The sequence below is a fragment of the Homo sapiens genome, chromosome 17 (assembly GCF_000001405.40).
Source record: "Homo sapiens chromosome 17, GRCh38.p14 Primary Assembly".
Lineage (NCBI taxonomy): Eukaryota > Metazoa > Chordata > Mammalia > Primates > Hominidae > Homo > Homo sapiens.
In genome coordinates this window covers 24,010,141-24,035,229 of record NC_000017.11, presented here as the reverse complement: position 1 = coordinate 24,035,229, position 25,089 = coordinate 24,010,141, and the positions used below count along the sequence as shown (strand labels likewise).

General features: G+C 40.8%; 1 annotated feature.

Moving 5' to 3' along the window:
• Positions 1–25,089: part of a centromere (Linear centromere model derived predominantly from reads generated in PMID: 17803354. This region does not represent an actual centromere sequence, as long-range ordering of repeats and unmapped WGS contigs is not provided by the model. For details of model production, see http://arxiv.org/abs/1307.0035.) that runs on past both edges of the window.

The window sequence follows — 25,089 nt, the reverse complement described above, 5'->3', positions numbered from 1 at the left end:
CTATCAAAGAAAGGTTCAGCACTGTGTGTTGAATGCAAACATCACGAAGAGGGTTCTGAGAATGCTTCTGTCTTCTTTCTATAGGAAGTTATTTCCTTTACTACGGTAGGCCTCAAAGAAGTGCAATTATCCCCTTGCAGTTTCTACAAAAAGAGTGTTTCAAACCTGAACTATCAAAGAAAGGTTCCACACTGTGAGTTGAATGCAGACATCACGAAGAAGGTTCTGAGAATGCTTCTGTTTAGTCAGCTGAAATTATCCCGTTTCCAACGAATTCCTCACAGAGGTCCAAATATGCACTTGCAGATTCTGCAGAAAGTGTGTTTCTAAACTGCTACATCGCAAGGAATGCTCAGCTCTGTGAGTTCAACTCAATCATCCCAAAAAATTTTCTGAGAAAGCTCTGTCTAGATGTCGTGTGAAGATATACCCGTTTCGAACGAAGGACACAGAGTGGTCCAAATATCCACTTGTAGATCCTGCAAAAAGAGTGTTTCAAACGTGAACTTTGAAAGGAAAGTTCAACTCTGGGATTTGAATGCAAACATCACAAAGAAGATTCTGAGACTGCTTTCTGTATAGTTTTTATGTGAAGATGATTCCGTTTCCAACGAAATCTTCAAAGAGGTCTACATGTCCCCTTGCAGATGCCACAGAAAGAGAGTTTCAAAACTGCGCTCTCAAAAGGAGTGTTCAACTCCGTGAGTTGAATGCAGTCATCACAGAGAAGCTTCTGAGAATGCTTCTATCTAGTATTTAGGTGAAGATATTTCCTTTTCCACCACAAACCACAAAGCCCTCCAAACGTCCACTTGCAGATTCTAGAAAAAGAGTGTTTCATAGCTGCTCTTTCCAAAGGAAAGTTCAACTCTGGGAGTTGAATACAAACATCACCAAAAAGTTCCTGAGAATGCATCTGTCTAGTTTTTCTATGAAGCTATTCCCTTTACTACCATAGGCCTCAAAGCGCTCCAAATCTCCACTTGCACATTCCACAACAAGAGTGTTTCCAAACTGCTCTATCAATAGGAATGTTCAACTCTGTGAGGTGAATGCAATCATCACAAAGCAGTTTCTGAGAATGCTTCCGTTTATTTAGGTGCAGTTATCGCGTTTCCAACGAAATCCTCAGAGAGGTCCAAATATCCACTTGTAGATTCTACAAAAAGTGTGTCTCAAACCTGCTCCATCCAAAGGAATGTTCAGCTCTGTGAGTTAAACTCAATCATCACAAAGTATTTTCTGAGAATGCTTGTGTCTAGATTTTATGTGAAGATGTACCCGTTTCGAATGAAGGCCACAGAGTGGTCCAAATATCCACTTGCAGATCCTACAAAAAGAGTGTTTCAAACCTGAACTATCACAGGAAGGTTCAACTCTGGGATTTGAATGCAAACATCACCAAGAAGTTTCTGAGAATGCTTCTGTTTAGTTTTTATGTGAAGATATTCCCGTTTCCAAAGACATCTTCGGAGAGGTCCACATATCCACTTGCAGATTCCACAAAAAGAGAGTTTCAACAATGCTCTATCCATAGGAGGGTTCAACTCTGTGAGTTGAATGCAATCATCACAGAGAAGTTTCTGAGAAGGCTTCTCTCCAGTTTTTATGGGACCATAATTCGTTTTCCACCACAGGCCTGAAAGCGCTCCAAATGTCTACTTGCAGACACTACGAAAAGCATGTTTCAGAACTACTCTATGAAAAGCAATGTGAAACTCTGGGAGTTGAACACAAACATCACAGAGAAGTTTCTGAGAATGCTTCTGTTTAGCTTTTCTGTGAAGATTCTCCCGTTTCCAACGAAATCTTCAAAGAGGTCCAAATATCCACTTGCAGATTCCACAGAAAGAGTGTTTGGAAACTGCTGTTTGTAAAGGAACCTTCATCTCCGTGAGTTGAATGCAATCATCACAAAGAAGTTTCTGACAATGCTTCTATCTAGCTTTTACGGGAAGTTAATTCCTTTTCCACCACAGGCCTCAAAGCCCTCCAAATGTCCACTTGCAGATTCTGGAAAAAGAGTGTTTCAAAGCTTCTCTCTCGAAAGGAAAGTTCAACTCTGTGAGTTGAATGCAAGCATCACAAAGAAGTTTCTGAGAATGCTACTGTCTAGCTTTCATATGAAGCTATTACCTTTACTACCATAGGCCTCAAAGCGGTCCATATCTCCACTTGCAGATTCTACACAAAGAGAGTTTCCAAACTGCTCTGTCAAAGGGAATGTTCAACTCTGTGACTTGAATGCAATCGTCACAAAGTAGTTTCTGAGAATGCTTCTGTTTAGTTCTGTGCGGTTTATCCCGTTTCCAACGAAATCCTCAGAGAGGCTCAAATATCCACTTGCACATTCTACAAATAGTGTGTTTCGAAACTGCTCCATCCAAAGGAATGTTCAGCTCTGTGAGTTAAACTCAGTCGTCACCAAGAGTTTTCTGTGAATGCTTCTGTTTTAGTTCTGTGCGGTTTATCCCGTTTCCAACGAAATCCTCAGAGAGGTCCAAATATCTACTTGCAGTTTCTACAGAAAGACCGTTTCAAACCTGAACTATCAAAGAAAGGTTCAACACTGTGAGTTGAATGCAAACATCACGAAGAAGGTTCTGAGAATGCTTCTGTTTAGTTCTGTGCGGTTTATCCCGTTTCCAACGAAATCCTCAGAGAGGACCAAATATCCACTTGCAGTTTCTACAAGAAGAGTGTTTCAAAGCTGAACTATCAAAGAAAGGTTCAGCACTGTGAGTTGAATGCAAACATCACGAAGAGGGTTCTGAGAATGCTTCTGTCTTCTTTCTATAGGAAGTTATTTCCTTTACTACGGTAGGCCTCAAAGAAGTGCAATTATCCCCTTGCAGTTTCTACAAAAAGAGTGTTTCAAACCTGAACTATCAAAGAAAGGTTCCACACTGTGAGTTGAATGCAGACATCACGAAGAAGGTTCTGAGAATGCTTCTGTTTAGTCAGCTGAAATTATCCCGTTTCCAACGAATTCCTCAGAGAGGTCCAAATATGCACTTGCAGATTCTGCAGAAAGTGTGTTTCTAAACTGCTACATCGCAAGGAATGTTCAGCTCTGTGAGTTCCACTCAATCATCCCAAAGAATTTTCTGAGAAAGCTTCTGTCTAGATGTCGTGTGAAGATATACCCGTTTCGAACGAAGGACACAGAGTGGTCCAAATATCCACTTGTAGATCCTGCAAAAAGAGTGTTTCAAACGTGAACTTTGAAAGGAAAGTTCAACTCTGGGATTTGAATGCAAACATCACAAAGAAGATTCTGAGACTGCTTCTGTATAGTTTTTATGTGAAGATGATTCCGTTTCCAACGAAATCTTCAAAGAGGTCTACATGTCCCCTTGCAGATGCCACAGAAAGAGAGTTTCAAAACTGCGCTCTCAAAAGGAGTGTTCAACTCCGTGAGTTGAATGCAGTCATCACAGAGAAGCTTCTGAGAATGCTTCTATCTAGTATTTAGGTGAAGATATTTCCTTTTCCACCACAAACCACAAAGCCCTCCAAACGTCCACTTGCAGATTCTAGAAAAAGAGTGTTTCATAGCTGCTCTTTCCAAAGGAAAGTTCAACTCTGGGAGTTGAATACAAACATCACCAAAAAGTTCCTGAGAATGCATCTGTCTAGTTTTTCTATGAAGCTATTCCCTTTACTACCATAGGCCTCAAAGCGCTCCAAATCTCCACTTGCACATTCCACAACAAGAGTGTTTCCAAACTGCTCTATCAATAGGAATGGTCAACTCTGTGAGGTGAATGCAATCATCACAAAGCAGTTTCTGAGAATGCTTCCGTTTAGTTCGGTGCAGTTATCCCGTTTCCAACGAAATCCTCAGAGAGGTCCAAATATCCACTTGTGGATTCTACAAAAAGTGTGTCTCAAGCCTGCTCCATCCAAAGGAATGTTCAGCTCTGTGAGTTAAACTCAATCATCACAAAGTATTTTCTGAGAATGCTTCTGTCTAGATTTTATGCGAAGATGTACCCGTTTCGAACGAAGGCCACAGAGTGGTCCAAATATCCACTTGCAGATCCTACAAAAAGAGTGTTTCAAACCTGAACTATCAAAGGAAGGTTCAACTCTGGGATTTGAATGCAAACATCACCAAGAAGTTTCTGAGAATGCTTCTGTTTAGTTTTTATGTGAAGATAGTCCCGTTTCCAAAGACATCTTCGGAGAGGTCCACATATCCACTTGCAGATTCCACAAAAAGAGAGTTTCAACACTGCTCTATCCATAGGAGGGTTCAACTCTGTGAGTTGAATGCAATCATCACAGAGAAGTTTCTGAGAAGGCTTCTCTCCAGTTTTTATGTGACCATAATTCGTTTTCCACCACAGGCCTGAAAGCGCTCCAAATGTCCCCTTGCAGACACTACGAAAAGCATGTTTCAGAACTACTCTATGAGAAGCAATGTGACACTCTGGGAGTTGAACACAAACATCACAGAGAAGTTTCTGAGAATGCTTCTGATTAGCTTTTCTGTGAAGGTTATCCCATTTCCAACGAAATCTTCAAAGAGGTCCAAATATCCACTTGCAGATTCCACAGAAAGAGTGTTTGGAAACTGCTGTTTGAAAAGGAACCTTCAACTCTGTGAGTTGAATGCAATCATCACAAAGAAGTTTCTGACAATGCTTCTATCCAGCTTTTACGGGAAGATAATTCCTTTTCCACCACAGGCCTCAAAGCCCTCCAAATGTCCACTTGCAGATTCTGGAAAAAGAGTGTTTCAAAGCTTCTCTCTCGAAAGGAAAGTTCAACTCTGTGAGTTGAATGCAAGCATCACAAAGAAGTTTCTGAGAATGCTACTGTCTAGCTTTTATATGAAGCTATTTCCTTTACTACCATAGTCCTCAAAGCATTCCATATCTCCACTTGCAGATTCTACACAAAGAGAGTTTCCAAACTGCTCTGTCAAAGGGAATGTTCAGCTCTGTGACTTGAATGCAATCATCACAAAGTTGTTTCCCAGAATGCTTCTGTTTTAGTTCTGTGCGGTTTATCCCTTTTCCAACGAAATCCTCAGAGAGGCCCAAATATCCACTTGCAGATTCTACAAATAGTGTGTTTCGAAACTGCTCCATCCAAAGGAATGTTCAGCTCTGTGAGTTAAACTCAGTCGTCACCAAGCGTTTTCTGTGAATGCTTCTGTTTAGTTCTGTGCGGTTTATCCCGTTTCCAACGAAATCCTCAGAGAGGACCAAATATCCACTTGCAGTTTCTACAAAAAGAGTGTTTCAAAGCTGAACTATCAAAGAAAGGTTCAGCACTGTGAGTTGAATGCAAACATCACGAAGAGGGTTCTGAGAATGCTTCTGTCTTCTTTTTATAGGAAGTTATTTCCTTTACTACGGTAGGCCTCAAAGAAGTGCAATTATCCCCTTGCAGTTTCTACAAAAAGAGTGTTTCAAACCTGAACTATCAAATAAAGGTTCCACACTGTGAGTTGAATGCAGACATCACGAAGAAGGTTCTGAGAATGCTTCTGTTTAGTCAGCTGAAATTATCCCGTTTCCAACGAATTCCTCAGAGAGGTCCAAATATGCACTTGCAGATTCTGCAGAAAGTGTGTTTCTAAACTGCTCCATCGCAAGGAATGTTCAGCTCTGTGAGTTCAACTCAATCATCCCAAAGAATTTTCTGAGAAAGCTTCTGTCTAGATGTCATGTGAAGATATACCCGTTTCGAACGAAGGACACAGAGTGGTCCAAATATCCACTTGTAGATCCTGCAAAAAGAGTGTTTCAAACGTGAACTTTGAAAGGAAAGTTCAACTCTGGGATTTGAATGCAAACATCACAAAGAAGATTCTGAGACTGCTTCTGTATAGTTTTGATGTGAAGATGATTCCGTTTCCAACGAAATCTTCAAAGAGGTCTACATGTCCCCTTGCAGATGACACAGAAAGAGAGTTTCAAAACTGCGCTCTCAAAAGGAGTGTTCAACTCCGTGAGTTGAATGCAGTCATCACAGAGAAGCTTCTGAGAATGCTTCTATGTAGTATTTAGGTGAAGATATTTCCTTTTCCACCACAAACCACAAAGCCCTCCAAACGTCCACTTGCAGATTCTAGAAAAAGAGTGTTTCATAGCTGCTCTTTCCAAAGGAAAGTTCAACTCTGGGAGTTGAATACAAACATCACCAAAAAGTTCCTGAGAATGCATCTGTCTAGTTTTTCTATGAAGCTATTCCCTTTACTACCATAGGCCTCAAAGCGCTCCAAATCTCCACTTGCACATTCCACAACAAGAGTGTTTCCAAAGTGCTCTATCAATAGGAATGGTCAACTCTGTGAGGTGAATGCAATCATCACAAAGCAGTTTCTGAGAATGCTTCCGTTTAGTTAGGTGCAGTTATCCCGTTTCCAACGAAATCCTCAGAGAGGTCCAAATATCCACTTGTAGATTCTACAAAAAGTGTGTCTCAAACCTGCTCCATCCAAAGGAATGTTCAGCTCTGTGAGTTCAACTCAATCATCACAAAGTATTTTCTGAGAATGCTTCTGTCTAGATTTTATGCGAAGATATACCCGTCTCGAACGAAGGCCACTGAGTGGTCCAAATAGCCACTTGCAGATCCTACAAAAAGAGTGTTTCAAACCTGAACTATCAAAGGAAGGTTCAACTCTGGGATTTGAATGCAAACATCACCAAGAAGTTTCTGAGAATGCTTCTGTTTAGTTTTTATGTGAAGATATTCCCGTTTCCAAAGACATCTTCGGAGAGGTCCACATATCCACTTGCAGATTCCACAAAAAGAGAGTTTCAACACTGCTCTATCCATAGGAGGGTTCAACTCTGTGAGTTGAATGCAATCATCACAGAGAAGTTTCTGAGAAGGCTTCTCTCCAGTTTTTATGTGACCATAATTCGTTTTCCACCACAGGCCTGAAAGCGCTCCAAATGTCCACTTGCAGACACTACGAAAAGCATGTTTCAGAACTACTCTATGAAAAGCAACGTGAAACTCTGGGAGTTGAACACAAACATCACAGAGAAGTTTCTGAGAATGCTTCTGTTTTAGTTCTGTGCGTTTTATCCCGTTTCCAACGAAATCCTCAGAGAGGCCCAAATATCCACTTGCAGATTCCACAGAAAGAGTGATTGGAAACTGCTGTTTGAAAAGGAACCTTCAACTCTGTGAGTTGAATGCAATCATCACAAAGAAGTTTCTGACAATGCTTCTGTTTTAGTTCTGTGCGGTTTATCCCGTTTCCAATGAAATCCTCAGAGAGGACCAAACATCCACTTGCAGTTTCTACAAAAAGAGTGTTTCAAAGCTGCACTATCAAAGAAAGGTTCAGCACTGTGAGTTGAATGCAAACATCACGAAGAGGGCTCTGAGAATTCTTCTGTTTAGTTCTGTGCGGTTTATCCCGTTTCCAACGAAATCCTCAGAGAGGACCAAATATCCACTTGCAGTTTCTACAAGAAGAGTGTTTCAAAGCTGAACTATCAAAGAAAGGTTCAGCACTGTGAGTTGAATGCAAACATCACGAAGAGGGTTCTGAGAATGCTTCTGTCTTCTTTCTATAGGAAGTTATTTCCTTTACTACGGTAGGCCTCAAAGAAGTGCAATTATCCCCTTGCAGTTTCTACAAAAAGAGTGTTTCAAACCTGAACTATCAAAGAAAGGTTCCACACTGTGAGTTGAATGCAGACATCACGAAGAAGGTTCTGAGAATGCTTCTGTTTAGTCAGCTGAAATTATCCCGTTTCCAACGAATTCCTCAGAGAGGTCCAAATATGCACTTGCAGATTCTGCAGAAAGTGTGTTTCTAAACTGCTACATCGCAAGGAATGTTCAGCTCTGTGAGTTCCACTCAATCATCCCAAAGAATTTTCTGAGAAAGCTTCTGTCTAGATGTCGTGTGAAGATATACCCGTTTCGAACGAAGGACACAGAGTGGTCCAAATATCCACTTGTAGATCCTGCAAAAAGAGTGTTTCAAACGTGAACTTTGAAAGGAAAGTTCAACTCTGGGATTTGAATGCAAACATCACAAAGAAGATTCTGAGACTGCTTCTGTATAGTTTTTATGTGAAGATGATTCCGTTTCCAACGAAATCTTCAAAGAGGTCTACATGTCCCCTTGCAGATGCCACAGAAAGAGAGTTTCAAAACTGCGCTCTCAAAAGGAGTGTTCAACTCCGTGAGTTGAATGCAGTCATCACAGAGAAGCTTCTGAGAATGCTTCTATCTAGTATTTAGGTGAAGATATTTCCTTTTCCACCACAAACCACAAAGCCCTCCAAACGTCCACTTGCAGATTCTAGAAAAAGAGTGTTTCATAGCTGCTCTTTCCAAAGGAAAGTTCAACTCTGGGAGTTGAATACAAACATCACCAAAAAGTTCCTGAGAATGCATCTGTCTAGTTTTTCTATGAAGCTATTCCCTTTACTACCACAGGCCTCAAAGCGCTCCAAATCTCCACTTGCACATTCCACAACAAGAGTGTTTCCAAACTGCTCTATCAATAGGAATGTTCAACTCTGTGAGGTGAATGCAATCATCACAAAGCAGTTTCTGAGAATGCTTCCGTTTAGTTAGGTGCAGTTATCCCGTTTCCAACGAAATCCTCAGAGAGGTCCAAATATCCACTTGTAGATTCTACAAAAAGTGTGTCTCAAACCTGCTCCATCCAAAGGAATGGTCAGCTCTGTGATTTAAACTCAATCATCACAAAGTATTTTCTGAGAATGCTTCTGTCTAGATTTTATGCGAAGATATACCCGTTTCGAACGAAGGCCACAGAGTGGTCCAAATAGCCACTTGCAGATCCTACAGAAAGAGTGTTTCAAACCTGAACTATCAAAGGAAGGTTCAACTCTGGGATTTGAATGCAAACATCACCAAGAAGTTTCTGAGAATGCTTCTGTTTAGTTTTTATGTGAAGATATTCCCGTTTCCAAAGACATCTTCGGAGAGGTCCACATATCCACTTGCAGATTCCACAAAAAGAGAGTTTCAACACTGCTCTACCCATAGGAGGGTTCAACTCTGTGAGTTGAATGCAATCATCACAGAGAAGTTTCTGAGAAGGCTTCTCTCCAGTTTTTATGTGACCATAATTCGTTTTCCACCACAGGCCTGAAAGCGCTCCAAATGTCCACTTGCAGACACTACGAAAAGCATGTTTCAGAACTACTCTATGAAAAGCAACGTGAAACTCTGGGAGTTGAACACAAACATCACAGAGAAGTTTCTGAGAATGCTTCTGTTTTAGTTCTGTGCGTTTTATCCCGTTTCCAACGAAATCCTCAGAGAGGCCCAAATATCCACTTGCAGATTCCACAGAAAGAGTGATTGGAAACTGCTGTTTGAAAAGGAACCTTCAACTCTGTGAGTTGAATGCAATCATCACAAAGAAGTTTCTGACAATGCTTCTGTTTTAGTTCTTTGCGGTTTATCCCGTTTCCAACGAAATCCTCAGAGAGGACCAAATATCCACTTGCAGTTTCTACAAAAAGAGTGTTTCAAAGCTGCACTATCAAAGAAAGGTTCAGCACTGTGAGTTGAATGCAAACATCACGAAGAGGGCTCTGAGAATTCTTCTGTTTAGTTCTGTGCGGTTTATCCCGTTTCCAACGAAATCCTCAGAGAGGACCAAATATCCACTTGCAGTTTCTACAAGAAGAGTGTTTCAAAGCTGAACTATCAAAGAAAGGTTCAGCACTGTGAGTTGAATGCAAACATCACGAAGAGGGTTCTGAGAATGCTTCTGTCTTCTTTTTATAGGAAGTTATTTCCTTTACTACGGTACTCCTCAAAGAGTGCAATTATCCCCTTGCAGTTTCTACAGAAAGAGTGTTTCAAACCTGAACTATCAAAGAAAGGTTCCACACTGTGAGTTGAATGCAGACATCACGAAGAAGTTCTGAGAATGCTTCTGTTTAGTCAGCTGAAATTATCCCGTTTCCAACGAATTCCTCACAGAGGTCCAAATATGCACTTGCAGATTCTGCAGAAAGTGTGTTTCTAAACTGCTACATCGCAAGGAATGCTCAGCTCTGTGAGTTCAACTCAATCATCCCAAAGAATTTTCTGAGAAAGCTTCTGTCTAGATGTCATGTGAAGATATACCCGTTTCGAACGAAGGACACAGAGTGGTCCAAATATCCACTTGTAGATCCTGCAAAAAGAGTGTTTCAAACGTGAACTTTGAAAGGAAAGTTCAACTCGGGGATTTGAATGCAAACATCACAAAGAAGATTCTGAGACTGCTTCTGTATAGTTTTTATGTGAAGATGATTCCGTTTCCAACGAAATCTTCAAAGAGGTCTACATGTCCCCTTGCAGATGCCACAGAAAGAGAGTTTCAAAACTGCGCTCTCAAAAGGAGTGTTCAACTCCGTGAGTTGAATGCAGTCATCTCAGAGAAGCTTCTGAGAATGCTTCTATCTAGTATTTAGGTGAAGATATTTCCTTTTCCACCACAAACCACAAAGCCCTCCAAACGTCCACTTGCAGATTCTAGAAAAAGAGTGTTTCATAGCTGCTCTTTCCAAAGGAAAGTTCAACTCTGGGAGTTGAATACAAACATCACCAAAAAGTTCCTGAGAATGCATCTGTCTAGTTTTTCTATGAAGCTATTCCCTTTACTACCATAGGCCTCAAAGCGCTCCAAATCTCCACTTGCACATTCCACAACAAGAGTGTTTCCAAACTGCTCTATCAATAGGAATGTTCAACTCTGTGAGGTGAATGCAATCATCACAAAGCAGTTTCTGAGAATGCTTCCGTTTAGTTAGGTGCAGTTATCCCGTTTCCAACGAAATCCTCAGAGAGGTCCAAATATCCACTTGTAGATTCTACAAAATGTGTGTCTCAAACCTGCTCCATCCAAAGGAATGTTCAGCTCTGTGATTTAAACTCAATCATCACAAAGTATTTTCTGAGAATGCTTCTGTCTAGATTTTATGCGAAGATATACCCGTTTCGAACGAAGGCCACAGAGTGGTCCAAATAGCCACTTGCAGATCCTACAAAAAGAGTGTTTCAAACCTGAACTATCAAAGGAAGGTTCAACTCTGGGATTTGAATGCAAACATCACCAAGAAGTTTCTGAGAATGCTTCTGTTTAGTTTTTATGTGAAGATATTCCCGTTTCCAAAGACATCTTCGGAGAGGTCCACATATCCACTTGCAGATTCCACAAAAAGAGAGTTTCAACACTGCTCTATCCATAGGAGGGTTCAACTCTGTGAGTTGAATGCAATCATCACAGAGAAGTTTCTGAGAAGGCTTCTCTCCAGTTTTTATGTGACCATAATTCGTTTTCCACCACAGGCCTGAAAGCGCTCCAAATGTCCACTTGCAGACACTACGAAAAGCATGTTTCAGAACTACTCTATGAAAAGCAACGTGAAACTCTGGGAGTTGAACACAAACATCACAGAGAAGTTTCTGAGAATGCTTCTGTTTTAGTTCTGTGCGTTTTATCCCGTTTCCAACGAAATCCTCAGAGAGGCCCAAATATCCACTTGCAGATTCCACAGAAAGAGTGATTGGAAACTGCTGTTTGAAAAGGAACCTTCAACTCTGTGAGTTGAATGCAATCATCACAAAGAAGTTTCTGACAATGCTTCTGTTTTAGTTCTGTGCGGTTTATCCCGTTTCCAACGAAATCCTCAGAGAGGACCAAACATCCACTTGCAGTTTCTACAAAAAGAGTGTTTCAAAGCTGCACTATCAAAGAAAAGTTCAGCACTGTGAGTTGAATGCAAACATCACGAAGAGGGCTCTGAGAATTCTTCTGTCTTCTTTTTATAGGAAGTTATTTCCATTACTACGGTAGGCCTCAAAGAAGTGCAATTATCCCCTTGCAGTTTCCACAAAAAGAGTGTTTCAAACCTGAACTATCAAAGAAAGGTTCCACACTGTGAGTTGAATGCAGACATCTCGAAGAAGGTTCTGAGAATGCTTCTGTTTAGTCAGCTGAAATTATCCCGTTTCCAACGAATTCCTCAGAGAGGTCCAAATATGCACTTGCAGATTCTGCAGAAAGTGTGTTTCTAAACTGCTACATCGCAAGGAATGTTCAGCACTGTGAGTTCCACTCAATCATCCCAAAGAATTTTCCTGAGAAAGCTTCTGTCTAGATGTCGTGTGAAGATATACCCGTTTCGAACGAAGGACACAGAGTGGTCCAAATATCCACTTGTAGATCCTGCAAAAAGAGTGTTTCAAACGTGAACTTTGAAAGGAAAGTTCAACTCTGGGATTTGAATGCAAACATCACAAAGAAGATTCTGAGACTGCTTCTGTATAGTTTTTATGTGAAGATGATTCCGTTTCCAACGAAATCTTCAAAGAGGTCTACATGTCCCCTTGCAGATGCCACAGAAAGAGAGTTTCAAAACTGCGCTCTCAAAAGGAGTGTTCAACTCCGTGAGTTGAATGCAGTCATCACAGAGAAGCTTCTGAGAATGCTTCTATCTAGTATTTAGGTGAAGATATTTCCTTTTCCACCACAAACCACAAAGCCCTCCAAACGTCCACTTGCAGATTCTAGAAAAAGAGTGTTTCATAGCTGCTCTTTCCAAAGGAAAGTTCAACTCTGGGAGTTGAATACAAACATCACCAAAAAGTTCCTGAGAATGCATCTGTCTAGTTTTTCTATGAAGCTATTCCCTTTACTACCACAGGCCTCAAAGCGCTCCAAATCTCCACTTGCACATTCCACAACAAGAGTGTTTCCAAACTGCTCTATCAATAGGAATGTTCAACTCTGTGAGGTGAATGCAATCATCACAAAGCAGTTTCTGAGAATGCTTCCGTTTAGTTAGGTGCAGTTATCCCGTTTCCAACGAAATCCTCAGAGAGGTCCAAATATCCACTTGTAGATTCTACAAAAAGTGTGTCTCAAACCTGCTCCATCCAAAGGAATGGTCAGCTCTGTGATTTAAACTCAATCATCACAAAGTATTTTCTGAGAATGCTTCTGTCTAGATTTTATGCGAAGATATACCCGTTTCGAACGAAGGCCACAGAGTGGTCCAAATAGCCACTTGCAGATCCTACAGAAAGAGTGTTTCAAACCTGAACTATCAAAGGAAGGTTCAACTCTGGGATTTGAATGCAAACATCACCAAGAAGTTTCTGAGAATGCTTCTGTTTAGTTTTTATGTGAAGATATTCCCGTTTCCAAAGACATCTTCGGAGAGGTCCACATATCCACTTGCAGATTCCACAAAAAGAGAGTTTCAACACTGCTCTATCCATAGGAGGGTTCAACTCTGTGAGTTGAATGCAATCATCACAGAGAAGTTTCTGAGAAGGCTTCTCTCCAGTTTTTATGTGACCATTATTCGTTTTCCACCACAGGCCTGAAAGCGCTCCAAATGTCCACTTGTAGACACTACGAAAAGCATGTTTCAGAACTACTCTATGAAATGCAATGTGAAACTCTGGGAGTTGAACAAAAACATCACAGAGAAGTTTCTGAGAATGCTTCTGTTTAGCTTTTCTGTGAAGATACTCCCGTTTCCAACGAAATCTTCAAAATAGGTCCAAATATCCACTTGCAGATTCCACAAAAAAAGTGATTGGAAACTGCTCTTTGAAAAGGAACCTTCAACTCTGTGAGTTGAATGCAATCATCACAAAGAAGTTTCTGACAATGCTTCTATCTAGCTTTTACGGGAAGATAATTCCTTTTCCAACACAGGCCTCAAAGCCCTCCAAATGTCCACTTGCTCATTCTGGAAAAAGAGTGTTTCAAAGCTTCTCTCTCGAAAGGAAAGTTCAACTCTGTGAGTTGAATGCAAGCATCACAAAGAAGTTTCTGAGAATGCTTCTGTCTTCTTTCTATAGGAAGTTATTTCCTTTACTACGTAGGCCTCAAAGAAGTGCAATTATCCCCTTGCAGTTTCTACAAAAAGAGTGTTTCAAACCTGAACTATCAAAGAAAGGTTCCACACTGTGAGTTGAATGCAGACATCACGAAGAAGGTTCTGAGAATGCTTCTGTTTAGTCAGCTGAAATTATCCCGTTTCCAACGAATTCCTCAGAGAGGTCCAAATATGCACTTGCAGATTCTGCAGAAAGTGTGTTTCTAAACTGCTACATCGCAAGGAATGTTCAGCTCTGTGAGTTCCACTCAATCATCCCAAAGAATTTTCTGAGAAAGCTTTCTGTCTAGATGTCGTGTGAAGATATACCCGTTTCGAACGAAGGACACAGAGTGGTCCAAATATCCACTTGTAGATCCTGCAAAAAGAGTGTTTCAAACGTGAACTTTGAAAGGAAAGTTCAACTCTGGGATTTGAATGCAAACATCACAAAGAAGATTCTGAGACTGCTTCTGTATAGTTTTTATGTGAAGATGATTCCGTTTCCAACGAAATCTTCAAAGAGGTCTACATGTCCCCTTGCAGATGCCACAGAAAGAGAGTTTCAAAACTGCGCTCTCAAAAGGAGTGTTCAACTCCGTGAGTTGAATGCAGTCATCACAGAGAAGCTTCTGAGAATGCTTCTATCTAGTATTTAGGTGAAGATATTTCCTTTTCCACCACAAACCACAAAGCCCTCCAAACGTCCACTTGCAGATTCTAGAAAAAGAGTGTTTCATAGCTGCTCTTTCCAAAGGAAAGTTCAACTCTGGGAGTTGAATACAAACATCACCAAAAAGTTCCTGAGAATGCATCTGTCTAGTTTTTCTATGAAGCTATTCCCTTTACTACCATAGGCCTCAAAGCGCTCCAAATCTCCACTTGCACATTCCACAACAAGAGTGTTTCCAAACTGCTCTATCAATAGGAATGTTCAACTCTGTGAGGTGAATGCAATCATCACAAAGCAGTTTCTGAGAATGCTTCCGTTTAGTTAGGTGCAGTTATCCCGTTTCCAACGAAATCCTCAGAGAGGTCCAAATATCCACTTGTAGATTCTACAAAAAGTGTGTCTCAAACCTGCTCCATCCAAAGGAATGGTCAGCTCTGTGATTTAAACTCAATCATCACAAAGTATTTTCTGAGAATGCTTCTGTCTAGATTTTATGCGAAGATATACCCGTTTCGAACGAAGGCCACAGAGTGGTCCAAATAGCCACTTGCAGATCCTACAGAAAGAGTGTTTCAAACCTGAACTATCAAAGGAAGGTTCAACTCTGGGATTTGAATGCAAACATCACCAAGAAGTTTCTGAGAATGCTTCTGTTTAGTTTTTATGTGAAGATATTCCCGTTTCCAAAGACATCTTCGGAGAGGTCCACATATCCACTTGCAGATTCCACAAAAAGAGAGTTTCAACACTGCTCTATCCATAGGAGGGTTCAACTCTGTGAGTTGAATGCAATCATCACAGAGAAGTTTCTGAGAAGGCTTCTCTCCAGTTTTTATGTGACCATAATTCGTTTTCCACCACAGGCCTGAAAGCGCTCCAAATGTCCACTTGCAGACACTACGAAAAGCATGTTTCAGAACTACTCTATGAAAAGCAACGTGAAACTCTGGGAGTTGAACACAAACATCACAGAGAAGTTTCTGAGAATGCTTCTGTTTTAGTTCTGTGCGTTTTATCCCGTTTCCAACGAAATCCTCAGAGAGGCCCAAATATCCACTTGCAGATTCCACAGAAAGAGTGATTGGAAACTGCTGTTTGAAAAGGAACCTTCAACTCTGTGAGTTGAATGCAATCATCACAAAGAAGTTTCTGACAATGCTTCTGTTTTAGTTCTGTGCGGTTTATCCCGTTTCCAACGAAATCCTCAGAGAGGACCAAACATCCACTTGCAGTTTCTACAAGAAGAGTGTTTCAAAGCTGCACTATCAAAGAAAGGTTCAGCACTGTGAGTTGAATGCAAACATCACGAAGAGGGCTCTGAGAATTCTTCTGTTTAGTTCTGTGCGGTTTATCCCGTTTCCAACGAAATCCTCAGAGAGGACCAAATATCCACTTGCAGTTTCTACAAGAAGAGTGTTTCAAAGCTGAACTATCAAAGAAAGGTTCAGCACTGTGAGTTGAATGCAAACATCACGAAGAGGGTTCTGAGAATGCTTCTGTCTTCTTTCTATAGGAAGTTATTTCCTTTACTACGGTAGGCCTCAAAGAAGTGCAATTATCCCCTTGCAGTTTCTACAAAAAGAGTGTTTCAAACCTGAACTATCAAAGAAAGGTTCCACACTGTGAGTTGAATGCAGACATCACGAAGAAGGTTCTGAGAATGCTTCTGTTTAGTCAGCTGAAATTATCCCGTTTCCAACGAATTCCTGAGAGAGGTCCAAATATGCACTTGCAGATTCTGCAGAAAGTGTGTTTCTAAACTGCTACATCGCAAGGAATGTTCAGATCTGTGAGTTCCACTCAATCATCCCAAAGAATTTTCTGAGAAAGCTTCTGTCTAGATGTCTTGTGAAGATATACCCGTTTCGAACGAAGGACACAGAGTGGTCCAAATATCCACTTGTAGATCCTGCAAAAAGAGTGTTTCAAACGTGAACTTTGAAAGGAAAGTTCAACTCTGGGATTTGAATGCAAACATCACAAAGAAGATTCTGAGACTGCTTCTGTATAGTTTTTATGTGAAGATGATTCCGTTTCCAACGAAATCTTCAAAGAGGTCTACATGTCCCCTTGCAGATGCCACAGAAAGAGAGTTTCAAAACTGCGCTCTCAAAAGGAGTGTTCAACTCCGTGAGTTGAATGCAGTCATCACAGAGAAGCTTCTGAGAATGCTTCTATCTAGTATTTAGGTGAAGATATTTCCTTTTCCACCACAAACCACAAAGCCCTCCAAACGTCCACTTGCAGATTCTAGAAAAAGAGTGTTTCATAGCTGCTCTTTCCAAAGGAAAGTTCAACTCTGGGAGTTGAATACAAACATCACCAAAAAGTTCCTGAGAATGCATCTGTCTAGTTTTTCTATGAAGCTATTCCCTTTACTACCATAGGCCTCAAAGCGCTCCAAATCTCCACTTGCACATTCCACATGAAGAGTGTTTCCAAACTGCTCTATCAATAGGAATGTTCAACTCTGTGAGGTGAATGCAATCATCACAAAGCAGTTTCTGAGAATGCTTCCGTTTAGTTAGGTGCAGTTATACCGTTTCCAACGAAATCCTCAGAGAGGTCTAAATATCCACTTGTAGATTCTACAAAAAGTGTGTCTCAAACGTGGTCCATCCAAAGGAATGTTCAGCTCTGTGAGTTAAACTCAATCATCACAAAGAATTTTCTGAGAATGCTTCTGTCTAGATTTTATGCGAAGATGTACCCGTTTCGAACGAAGGCCACAGAGTGGTCCAAATATCCACTTGCAGATCGTACAGAAAGAGTGTTTCAAATCTGACCTATCAAAGGAAGTTTCAACTCTGGGATTTGAATGCAAACATCACCAAGAAGTTTCTGAGAATGCTTCTGTTTAGCTTTTATGTGAAGATATTCCCGTTTCCAAAGACATCTTCGGAGAGGTCCACATATCCACTTGCAGATTCCACAAAAAGAGAGTTTCAACACTGCTCTATCCATAGGAGGGTTCAACTCTGTGAGTTGAATGCAATCATCACAGAGAAGTTTCTGAGAAGGCTTCTCTCCAGTTTTTATGTGACCATAATTCGTTTTCCACCACAGGCCTGAAAGCGCTCCAAATGTCCACTTGCAGACACTACGAAAAGCATGTTTCAGAACTACTCTATGAAAAGCAATGTGAAACTCTGGGAGTTGAACACAAACATCACAGAGAAGTTTCTGAGAATGCTTCTGTTTAGCTTTTCTGTGAAGATTCTCCCGTTTCCAACGAAATCTTCAAAGAGGTCCAAATATCCACTTGCAGATTCCACAGAAAGAGTGATTGGAAACTGCTCTTTGAAAAGGAACCTTCAACTCTGTGACTTGAATGCAATCATCACAAAGAAGTTTCTGACAATGCTTCTATCTAGGCTTTTACGGGAAGATAATTCCTTTTCCACCACAGGCCTCAAAGCCCTCCAAATGTCCACTTGCAGATTCTGGAAAAAGAGTGTTTCAAAGCTTCTCTCTCGAAAGGAAAGTTCAACTCTGTGAGTTGAATGCAAGCATCACAAAGAAGTTTCTGAGAATGCTACTGTCTAGCTTTTATATGAAGCTATTTCCTTTACTACCATAGGCCTCAAAGCGGTCCATATCTCCACTTGCAGATTCTACACAAAGAGAGTTTCCAAACTGCTCTGTCAAAGGGAATGTTCAACTCTGTGACTTGAATGCAATCATCACAAAGTAGTTTCTGAGAATGCTTCTGTTTTAGTTCTGTGCGGTTTATCCCGTTTCCAACGAAATCCTCAGAGAGGCCCCAATATCCACTTGCACATTCTACAAATAGTGTGTTTCGAAACTGCTCCATCCAAAGGGATGTTCAGCTCTGTGAGTTAAACTCAGTCGTCACCAAGAGTTTTCTGTGAATGCTTCTGTTTAGTTCTGTGCGGTTTATCCCGTTTCCAAAGAAATCCTCAGAGAGGACCAAATATCCACTTGCAGTTTCTACAAAAAGAGTGTTTCAAAGCTGAAGTATCAAAGAAACGTTCAGCACTGTGAGTTTAATGCAAACATCACGAAGAGGGTTCTGAGAATGCTTCTGTCTTCTTTTTATAGGAAGTTATTTCCTTTACTACGGTAGGCCTCAAAGAAGTGCAGTTATACCCTTGCAGTTTCTACAAAAAGAGTGTTTCAAACCTGAACTATCAAAGAAAGGTTCCACACTGTGAGTTGAATGCAGACATCACGAAGAAGGTTCTGAGAATGCTTCTGTTTAGTCAGCTGAAATTATCCCGTTTCCAACGAATTCCTCAGGGAGGTCCAAATATGCACTTGCAGATTCTGCAGAAAGTGTGTTTCTAAACTGCTACATCGCAAGGAATGTTCAGCTCTGTGAGTTCAACTCAATCATCCCAAAGAATTTTCTGAGAAAGCTTCTGTCTAGATGTCATGTGAAGATATACCCGTTTCGAACGAAGGACACAGAGTGGTCCAAATATCCACTTGTAGATCCTGCAAAAAGAGTGTTTCAAACGTGAACTTTGAAAGGAAAGTTCAACTCTGGGATTTGAATGCAAACATCACAAAGAAGATTCTGAGACTGCTTCTGTATAGTTTTTATGTGAAGATGATTCCGTTTCCAATGAAATCTTCAAAGAGGTCTACATGTCCCCTTGCAGATGCCACAGAAAGAGAGTTTCAAAACTGCGCTCTCAAAAGGAGTGTTCAACTCCGTGAGTTGAATGCAGTCATCACAGAGAAGCTTCTGAGAATGCTTCTATCTAGTATTTAGGTGAAGATATTTCCTTTTCCACCACAAACCACAAAGCCCTCCAAACGTCCACTTGCAGATTCTAGAAAAAGAGTGTTTCATAGCTGCTCTTTCCAAAGGAAAGTTCAACTCTGGGAGTTGAATACAAACATCACCAAAAAGTTCCTGAGAATGCATCTGTCTAGTTTTTCTATGAAGCTATTCCCTTTACTACCATAGACCTCAAAGCGCTCCAAATCTCCACTTGCACATTCCACAACAAGAGTGTTTCCAAACTGCTCTATCAATAGGAATGTTCAACTCTGTGAGGTGAATGCAATCATCACAAAGCAGTTTCTGAGAATGCTTCCGTTTAGTTAGGTGCAGTTATCCCGTTTCCAACGAAATCCTCAGAGAGGTCCAAATATCCACTTGTAGATTCTACAAAAAGTGTGTCTCAAACCTGCTCCATCCAAAGGAATGTTCAGCTCTGTGATTTTAACTCAATCATCACAAAGTATTTTCTGAGAATGCTTCTGTCTAGATTTTATGCGAAGATATACCCGTTTCGAACGAAGGCCACAGAGTGGTCCAAATAGCCACTTGCAGATCCTACAGAAAGAGTGTTTCAAACCTGAACTATCAAAGGAAGGTTCAACTCTGGGATTTGAATGCAAACATCACCAAGAAGTTTCTGAGAATGCTTCTGTTTAGTTTTTATGTGAAGATATTCCCGTTTCCAAAGACATCTTCGGAGAGGTCCACATATCCACTTGCAGATTCCACAAAAAGAGAGTTTCAACACTGCTCTATCCATAGGAGGGTTCAACTCTGTGAGTTGAATGCAATCATCACAGAGAAGTTTCTGAGAAGGCTTCTCTCCAGTTTTTATGTGACCATAATTCGTTTTCCACCACAGGCCTGAAAGCGCTCCAAATGTCCACTTGCAGACACTACGAAAAGCATGTTTCAGAACTACTCTATGAAAAGCAACGTGAAACTCTGGGAGTTGAACACAAACATCACAGAGAAGTTTCTGAGAATGCTTCTGTTTTAGTTCTGTGCGTTTTATCCCGTTTCCAACGAAATCCTCAGAGAGGCCCAAATATCCACTTGCAGATTCCACAGAAAGAGTGATTGGAAACTGCTGTTTGAAAAGGAACCTTCAACTCTGTGAGTTGAATGCAATCATCACAAAGAAGTTTCTGACAATGCTTCTGTTTTAGTTCTGTGCGGTTTATCCCGTTTCCAACGAAATCCTCAGAGAGGACCAAACATCCACTTGCAGTTTCTACAAAAAGAGTGTTTCAAAGCTGCACTATCAAAGAAAGGTTCAGCACTGTGAGTTGAATGCAAACATCACGAAGAGGGCTCTGAGAATTCTTCTGTTTAGTTCTGTGCGGTTTATCCCGTTTCCAACGAAATCCTCAGAGAGGACCAAATATCCACTTGCAGTTTCTACAAGAAGAGTGTTTCAAAGCTGAACTATCAAAGAAAGGTTCAGCACTGTGAGTTGAATGCAAACATCACGAAGAGGGTTCTGAGAATGCTTCTGTCTTCTTTCTATAGGAAGTTATTTCCTTTACTACGGTAGGCCTCAAAGAAGTGCAATTATCCCCTTGCAGTTTCTACAAAAAGAGTGTTTCAAACCTGAACTATCAAAGAAAGGTTCCACACTGTGAGTTGAATGCAGACATCACGAAGAAGGTTCTGAGAATGCTTCTGTTTAGTCAGCTGAAATTATCCCGTTTCCAACGAATTCCTCAGAGAGGTCCAAATATGCACTTGCAGATTCTGCAGAAAGTGTGTTTCTAAACTGCTACATTACAAGGAATGTTCAGCTCTGTGAGTTCCACTCAATCATCCCAAAGAATTTTCTGAGAAAGCTTCTGTCTAGATGTCGTGTGAAGATATACCCGTTTCGAACGAAGGACACAGAGTGGTCCAAATATCCACTTGTAGATCCTGCAAAAAGAGTGTTTCAAACGTGAACTTTGAAAGGAAAGTTCAACTCTGGGATTTGAATGCAAACATCACAAAGAAGATTCTGAGACTGCTTCTGTATAGTTTTTATGTGAAGATGATTCCGTTTCCAACGAAATCTTCAAAGAGGTCTACATGTCCCCTTGCAGATGCCACAGAAAGAGAGTTTCAAAACTGCGCTCTCAAAAGGAGTGTTCAACTCCGTGAGTTGAATGCAGTCATCACAGAGAAGCTTCTGAGAATGCTTCTATCTAGTATTTAGGTGAAGATATTTCCTTTTCCACCACAAACCACAAAGCCCTCCAAACGTCCACTTGCAGATTCTAGAAAAAGAGTGTTTCATAGCTGCTCTTTCCAAAGGAAAGTTCAACTCTGGGAGTTGAATACAAACATCACCAAAAAGTTCCTGAGAATGCATCTGTCTAGTTTTTCTATGAAGCTATTCCCTTTACTACCATAGGCCTCAAAGCGCTCCAAATTTCCACTTGCACATTCCACAACAAGAGTGTTTCCAAACTGCTCTATCAATAGGAATGTTCAACTCTGTGAGGTGAATGCAATCATCACAAAGCAGTTTCTGAGAATGCTTCCGTTTAGTTAGGTGCAGTTATCCCGTTTCCAACGAAATCCTCAGAGAGGTCCCAATATCCACTTGTAGATTCTACAAAAAGTGTGTCTCAAACCTGCTCCATCCAAAGGAATGTTCAGCTCTGTGGGTTAAACTCAATCATCACAAAGTATTTTCTGAGAATGCTTCTGTCTAGATTTTATGCGAAGATATACCCGTTTCGAACGAAGGCCACAGAGTGGTCCAAATATCCACTTGCAGATCCTACAAAAAGAGTGTTTCAAACCTGAACTATCAAAGGAAGGTTCAACTCTGGGATTTGAATGCAAACATCACCAAGAAGTTTCTGAGAATGCTTCTGTTTAGTTTTTATGTGAAGATATTCCCGTTTCCAAAGACATCTTCGGAGAGGTCCACATATCCACTTGCAGATTCCACAAAAAGAGAGTTTCAACACTGCTCTATCCATAGGAGGGTTCAACTCTGTGAGTTGAATGCAATCATCACAGAGAAGTTTCTGAGAAGGCTTCTCTCCAGTTTTTATGTGACCATAATTCGTTTTCCACCACAGGCCTGAAAGCGCTCCAAATGTCCACTTGCAGACACTACGAAAAGCATGTTTCAGAACTACTCTATGAAAAGCAATGTGAAACTCTGGGAGTTGAACACAAACATCACAGAGAAGTTTCTGAGAATGCTTCTGTTTAGCTTTTCTGTGAAGATTCTCCCGTTTCCAACGAAATCTTCAAAGAGGTCCAAATATCCACTTGCAGATTCCACAGAAAGAGTGTTTGGAAACTGCTGTTTGTAAAGGAACCTTCATCTCTGTGAGTTGAATGCAATCATCACAAAGAAGTTTCTGACAATGCTTCTATCTAGCTTTTACGGGAAGATAATTCCTTTTCCACCACAGGCCTCAAAGCCCTCCAAATGTCCACTTGCAGATTCTGGAAAAAGAGTGTTTCAAAGCTTCTCTCTCGAAAGGAAAGTTCAACTCTGTGAGTTGAATGCAAGCATCACAAAGAAGTTTCTGAGAATGCTACTGTCTAGCTTTTATATGAAGCTATTTCCTTTACTACCATAGGCCTCAAAGCGGTCCATATCTCCACTTGCAGATTCTACACAAAGAGAGTTTCCAAACTGCTCTGTCAAAGGGAATGTTCAACTCTGTGACTTGAATGCAATCATCACAAAGTAGTTTCTGAGAATGCTTCTGTTTAGTTCTGTGCGGTTTATCCCGTTTCCAACGAAATCCTCAGAGAGGCCTAAATATCCACTTGCACATTCTACAAATAGTGTGTTTCGAAACTGCTCCATCCAAAGGAATGTTCAGCTCTGTGAGTTAAACTCAGTCGTCACCAAGAGTTTTCTGTGAATGCTTCTGTTTTAGTTCTGTGCGGGGTATCCCGTTTCCAACGAAATCCTCAGAGAGGTCCAAATATCTACTTGCAGTTTCTGCAGAAAGACCGTTTCAAACCTGAACTATCAAAGAAAGGTTCAACACTGTGGGTTGAATGCAAACATCACGAAGAAGGTTCTGAGAATGCTTCTGTTTAGTTCTGTGCAGTTTATCCCGTTTCCAACGAAATCCTCAGAGAGGACCAAATATCCACTTGCAGTTTCTACAAAAAGAGTGTTTCAAAGCTGAACTATCAAAGAAAGGTTCAGCACTGTGAGTTGAATGCAAACATCACGAAGAGGGTTCTGAGAATGCTTCTGTCTTCTTTTTATAGGAAGTTATTTCCTTTACTACGGTACTCCTCAAAGAGTGCAATTATCCCCTTGCAGTTTCTACAAAAAGAGTGTTTCAAACCTGAACTATCAAAGAAAGGTTCCACACTGTGAGTTGAATGCAGACATCACGAAGAAGGTTCTGAGAATGCTTCTGTTTAGTCAGCTGAAATTATCCCGTTTCCAACGAATTCCTCACAGAGGTCCAAATATGCACTTGCAGATTCTGCAGAAAGTGTGTTTCTAAACTGCTACATCGCAAGGAATGCTCAGCTCTGTGAGTTCAACTCAATCATCCCAAAGAATTTTCTGAGAAAGCTTCTGTCTAGATGTCATGTGAAGATATACCCGTTTCGAACGAAGGACACAGAGTGGTCCAAATATCCACTTGTAGATCCTGCAAAAAGAGTGTTTCAAACGTGAACTTTGAAAGGAAAGTTCAACTCGGGGATTTGAATGCAAACATCACAAAGAAGATTCTGAGACTGCTTCTGTATAGTTTTTATGTGAAGATGATTCCGTTTCCAACGAAATCTTCAAAGAGGTCTACATGTCCCCTTGCAGATGCCACAGAAAGAGAGTTTCAAAACTGCGCTCTCAAAAGGAGTGTTCAACTCCGTGAGTTGAATGCAGTCATCACAGAGAAGCTTCTGAGGATGCTTCTATCTAGTATTTAGGTGAAGATATTTCCTTTTCCACCACAAACCACAAAGCCCTCCAAACGTCCACTTGCAGATTCTAGAAAAAGAGTGTTTCATAGCTGCTCTTTCCAAAGGAAAGTTCAACTCTGGGAGTTGAATACAAACATCACCAAAAAGTTCCTGAGAATGCATCTGTCTAGTTTTTCTATGAAGCTATTCCCTTTACTACCATAGGCCTCAAAGCGCTCCAAATCTCCACTTGCACATTCCACAACAAGAGTGTTTCCAAACTGCTCTATCAATAGGAATGTTCAACTCTGTGAGGTGAATGCAATCATCACAAAGCAGTTTCTGAGAATGCTTCCGTTTAGTTAGGTGCAGTTATCCCGTTTCCAACGAAATCCTCAGAGAGGTCCAAATATCCACTTGTAGATTCTACAAAAAGTGTGTCTCAAACCTGCTCCATCCAAAGGAATGGTCAGCTCTGTGATTTAAACTCAATCATCACAAAGTATTTTCTGAGAATGCTTCTGTCTAGATTTTATGCGAAGATATACCCGTTTCGAACGAAGGCCACAGAGTGGTCCAAATAGCCACTTGCAGATCCTACAGAAAGAGTGTTTCAAACCTGAACTATCAAAGGAAGGTTCAACTCTGGGATTTGAATGCAAACATCACCAAGAAGTTTCTGAGAATGCTTCTGTTTAGTTTTTATGTGAAGATATTCCCGTTTCCAAAGACATCTTCGGAGAGGTCCACATATCCACTTGCAGATTCCACAAAAAGAGAGTTTCAACACTGCTCTATCCATAGGAGGGTTCAACTCTGTGAGTTGAATGCAATCATCACAGAGAAGTTTCTGAGAAGGCTTCTCTCCAGTTTTTATGTGACCATAATTCGTTTTCCACCACAGGCCTGAAAGCGCTCCAAATGTCCACTTGCAGACACTA